This window comes from Homo sapiens, chromosome 16 (genome assembly GCF_000001405.40).
Source record: "Homo sapiens chromosome 16, GRCh38.p14 Primary Assembly".
Lineage (NCBI taxonomy): Eukaryota > Metazoa > Chordata > Mammalia > Primates > Hominidae > Homo > Homo sapiens.
In genome coordinates, this window is record NC_000016.10 from 20,186,287 (window position 1) to 20,192,095 (window position 5,809).

A 5,809-nucleotide genomic window follows, 5' to 3' on the forward strand; every position below is an offset into this window, starting at 1 on the left:
ATATACACCATGGAATACTATGCAGCCATAAAAAATGATGAGTTCACGTCCTTTGTAGGGACATGGATGAAATTGCCTGGAATCTTACAAACTGTGACTTCTTTGGAAAGGGAAAGATCTGAGGTTGCAGTGTTGAGGACAGGGCTACAGGAACATTTGAGATGCTCAGGCGAGTAAAAAGGGGTTGTCTTCTAGTTAGAGGTCTGACTATTGCCTCATGTCCTTGAGCAAGCCCTCCCTACCTCTCATCCAGACTTTGACTTCTTCACAATAAAATAAGGGAGGTGGGCTATATTATCCCTAAGGACCTTTCTTAGTTCAGAGGTTTCAGGATGGTGGCTTCTGCATTAGTAGGGATTCTCTTGGCCTCTAGCTCCTGGAATTTCTGAGCATATTCCTAAGAAGATGTATCTACCTGGAAAGCAGGGGTCCTAATGCTTCAGGTTGGAGGCTATGGGAAAGAAGTCCTGCAGCCAGCTGGATGCATAGAGGCCCAGGGGCCTTTGGCCTCAGATGCCCTGAATACATTTTTGAAGACTTGCAGGTGCATAGCTGCCTTAGCCAAAGATTATTTGTGAAACAGACATGACTTTGCTCCACAGTGCCAGGATGCAGAAAGCTTTACATTTCTTCATTTATCTAAATCAAATTAAATCTGGCTCTGAGCCCCCACCCACATGACTGATGAGAGGTGCAGAATCTGTCATCAGTGGGCTGTTTCTCCCACCCCATGGGATTGTACCAAATCCTGAAGGTTATTTTGGTTCCAGGAGGGGTTTTGTCCTCAGCTGTTTGTTTTAGAGATACTCCCTACAGTGGCCGAGCTGAGTGAGCTGTGGCTTAGATTCAGAGACCTTTGTAGAGCCTGTAGGTCATGGTTTTTGGTGATCAACCCTAGGATCCAAGCATTACCCTATCAGAGGTTTACTTCCTTCAGGGCACTGCAAGGGAGAAGAACACAGGTCTCCAGCACTCACAGAATCTGTCTCCCTCCACCCTCTCAGCCCTAAGAACTCCAGTTCTTTCCCAGGGTGGCACAATTTCTTCCTCCACTCACAGTGCCAACCCTTCCCTCCTCTCTCCTCTGTAGCAACTTCAGCTTAATTCCATAGTCAGTCTCACCTGCCGACTGTAGACCTGGCTTTGATCAGAAGAGCTCCTGCAATTCAAAGATGCTATGACATCTTACTCTTCCCTAAAAACTAGTCTAGGCCTTCGATTGGCACTGTCCCAGAGATATATATAACTTGGGCCACATAAATTAAAAAATTTCTAGTAGTCATTTTTAAAAAGTAGATAAAATTTATATTAATAATATATTTTCTTTAACCTACTATATTCAAGATATAACCATTTTAACATGCAATCAGTATAACATTATTAGGAGATATTTTACATCAATTTTTAGTGTTAAGTCACTGAAATCCAGTGTGTATTTTGCACTTAAGCCACATTTCTATTTGAATGGATCACATATCAAGCACTCAACAGCCACATGTGGCTAGTGGCTACCATATTGGAAGTGTGATCTCAGAACAATAAAACAGAAACAAAAATTTAACTCTTCTTCCAGCAGGTGAGGAGAAACAGAACATTACTTTCTCATCTTTCCTTCCCCTAGCTGAGAAACAAGACAGAAATTAATATCTCAATAGATTATCCTGACATACTGCGTTACAGAGAAGAGAAGTCACTCAAAATAGCTTAAGCAAATCAGGAACTGTTTTAGAAGGACACATGGGGCCGTCATGGAATCCTGGAATGGGAAATACGGTCTTTCAGGAACAGGAAAGTCAGTGGCATCAGAGGCAGATTCCTTCTATTTGAGTCTCTGTTCCTTTCTCTGGGGGTATAACTTTCTTGGATTTTCTCAGGCCAGAGAATGTCTCTTTTCTTTCTCTCCGTATAGGGCTTTACCCTTCTCTCTTAGATGGGCTTTCTCCATTTTCCACCTTGGAGGGCTGGTGGAGTGACTGCTCCAAGCATGGTCCCCTGGCTCTGAATTTACATACTGTACAAGTCCGATAACTCAGTGAGTCCAATTCCAGATTACTGAGAGAAATAATTTAATTGGCTCATCTCACCAATGATTTGGCTTCCCCTGGTCAGGGTTTTTTTTCTTATCCAGGCTCCTGTGTCTGGGGAGGTGAGTGAGTGGAGTCCCTTACAATGCAAAGAGCTGCAGCATCTCAACCTATGGATGAGGAGGCAGTTCTTACAGAACAGGGATATGGGCTATTGAGTCCCCACAAAGAATCCACTTCAATCATGAGTGAAGAGTTGGAACACTCAATGTTTATGGCTGCCATTTTTCTACCCAACAAAAGTCCAGCAGGAACAAAATGGACTCCAGACTCTTGTGTTGGACAAAAAAATGGTGACTTGAGTACTCCCATGTTCATATTATAGCAGCATTATTTTCAATAGCTAAGAGATGGAAGCCATCCAAGTGTCCATCAACTGATGAATGGCTAAACAAAAAGTGATCAATACATACAATGGAGTATTACTCAGCCTTAAAAAGTAAGGGGATTCTTTCTTTCTTTTTTCTTTTGTTGATACAGGGTCTCACTACGTTGCCCTGGCTGATCTCGAGCTCTGGGCCTCAAGTGATCCTCCCACCTGGGCCTCCCAAAGGGCTAGCTAGGATTATAGGATTAAGGGAATTCTGATACATGCTATAACGCAGATGAATCTTGAGGACATTATATGCCAAAGGAAACAAGCCAACCACAAAAGAATACATACTGGATGATTCCACTTACATGAGCAATCTAGGATATTCAAATTCATAGGGAAAGAAAGGAGAAAGGTGTTTTCCAGAGGCTGGGGGAAGGGATGAATGGGGAGTGATTGATTAATGAGCGTAGAGTTACAGCTGGACATGATGAAAATGTTCTGAGGGTGGATGGTGGTGATGGTTGTACAACAATATGAATGCGCTTGATGCCACTGAATCGTGCATTTAAAAATGGTTAAGATGGTAAGTTTTATGTTACACGTATTTTAGCACAGTTTTAAAAAATGTCAGCTGGACTCCTAGGTTTATTTGAATGAACTGGTCATTGGCTAAGGGAATTAGAAAAAAGCAGGTCTATTTATTTTGAGGATTTTTCACCACTCTCACAGAGAAAGAGATGTTCTTCAGTCACATCTGAGGTAATTAAATCTTTGCTCATGGTAAATTAGACACAGGTATTTTCTTTGCCTTTTTTTCCCCCCAGTTCTAAGGCTTCTTTTTGTGTTTGAGATGGACTTTCGCTCTTGTTGCCCAGGCTGGAGTGCAATGGCATGATCTCGGCTCCCTGCAACCTCCACCTCCTGGGTTCAAGCGATTCTCCTGCCTCAGCCTCCCAAGTAGCTGGGACTACAGGTGCATGCCACCATGCCTGGCTAATTATTTTCAGTAGAGACGGGGTTTCTCCATGTTGGTCAGGCTGGTCTCGAACTCCCAGCCTCAGGTGATCCGCTCGCCTCGGCCTCCCAAAGTGCTGGGATTATAGGTGTGAGTCACTGCGCCCGGCCCAAAGGCTTCTTTATAAGCAGACAGGAAGTCTTGTTGATAACATAATATTTTACATTCTAGGTTTAACCAAAACAAAACTGTGCTCTGAATAGGCACTCTTAGAAGGGAGAAAATATATTAAATTATAAATCTGTGGAATTTTTTTCTGCCTTAGGCTCACCTTACTTGCTCTCTTTTCTTGTATCTAGGTGATGGTAGAAAAGGAAGACTTGAGGAAGCCAGAAGGCTGAGCCCGTGTATGGAGAAAAGAGAAAACAGAAAGATTGCAGGGTGTTGATTTATGAGGGGACATTAGGGAGCACGGAATGAGGAGGGAGAGAGGCTGGGGAAAGGATTTTTGAGTTTTGCTATGCATTATGAAAGTCTGTTCCCCTTTGTTATTTTCAGCAGAAACTGCAGCAAAGATGTAAATTGCCTTTCCTTTACTATTTATTTGAATGTCATAAGGAGATGAGATAAGGCACAAGGTGACGAGGCTGTATGTGGCTCATGTCTGCACTTCCAAGATCTACAATACTGTCTGCCCGACAGTTTTAGCCGAGTCCGTTGAATGTGACAGAGGAGAGAATTCTAGGCACCGTCTTTAGGGTCTTGTCCTCATCAGCTCCTTTTTTCCCCATTGCACCACTCAGCACCTTGTAAAAGGCCCTTCTGAAGTGATCAACCATAAAAAGCAAAAGTGATCCCCTTCATGAGGGGAAATACTGCAGCAATTATCACTTTATGTCATTTTGGAGCTCTGCAAAAGAGCTGGAGCAAGGAAAGATAATGGCGGTGACAGAAATTATGTCGAGAATAGCTCTATATCACTTCATTTAGTGCAGGGGGGAAGTCAAAATGTTCATAAAAGTCCATTTGGTCTGAAAGCAAATAACTTAAGTCATTCAAACTCAGTCTTGTTGGACAGTAAAGCCGCTGGCACTATTTTGTAGAAAGGACTCTATAGAAAAATAAATTATATTTATTGAATTGAACTTCAAGTAATAACCCTACCACCTACTTTTTTTTTTTCTGGCCTTCCACATCCTATGAATTTTGATGAATTACAAAAAGTTCTATGGGAACATAATCACTTAAACAAAAAGCTATCCAGGTAATAATAACACAAGCACCTTTAAACCTGAGAAAAACTCATTTGCCTCATAGGCGTGATCATTATTTATTCTCTCACTGCTCTGATTGCTTTTCTCCAAATAAAGTTCAAAGTAACAGCTTTTTGTTTAAGGCTCCAGATGTTCCTTAAAACCTGCCATTCTTGGTCAGGTGCAGTGGCTCATGCTGGTAATCCCAGCACTTTGGGAGGCCAAGGCGGGCGGAGTTTGAGACCAGCCTGGGCAACATGGTGAGACCTCATCTCTACAAAAAAATTAGCCAGTCATGGTAAAACCCTGTCTCTACTAAAAATACAAAAATTAGCCAGTCATGGTAAAACCTTGTCTCTACTAAAAATACAAAAATTAACCAGGTATCGTGGCACAAGCCTGTAGTCCTAGCTACTTGGGAGGCTGAGGCAGGAGAATGGCTTCAACTCGGGAGGCAGAGGTTGCAGTGAGCCGAGATTGCACCACTGCACTCCACTGAACTCAAGCCTGGGCAACAGAGCGAGACTCCATCTAAAAAAAAAAAAAGAAAGAGAAAGAAAGAAAGAGAAAGAAAGAAAGAAAGAAAGAAAGAAAGAAAGAAAGAAAGAAAGAAAGAAAGAAGAAAGAAAGAAAGAAAGAAAGAAAGAAAGAAAGAAAGAAAGAAAGAAAGAAAGAAAGAAAGAAAAAGAACCTACCATTCTAGTCTACAAGGGACTACCCTAGCCCACCAGTGCAACTCTTGGATGTTGTGGGTTAGATTCCATTGACCTTTAAGCTCTGAATCTTGGCCTCTTATAGTCAAGCTTGCTGCTTCACTGGTCCAAGCCTATGCCTCCCTCATACAAAAAAGATGCAGGAGCTTGGCAGAGAAGCATCCTGGAACCATGCCAAACCATGAAACAACACATTCTTGGAATCCCATATAATTGCTTAAATCTTGCTCTCCTGATCTTGAGCTGTCTGCACTGCTTTTTCTGAAGAGTCAGCTCAGGTATCACTTCCTCCAAGGAGCTCTCTGTGATTTCACTCCCAGGCTAAGTTATCTTTTGCATCTTTCCCATAGGCTCTTTGTAGTGAGCATTTGTTGAAAATCTGGATTCTCAGGATCTTCGATCTCCCCATGTTTGGAGAATTCACTCATTCACTCATTTGTTTGACAATATTTACTGAGGGTCTGCTATGTTCCAAGCACTAAAGATGC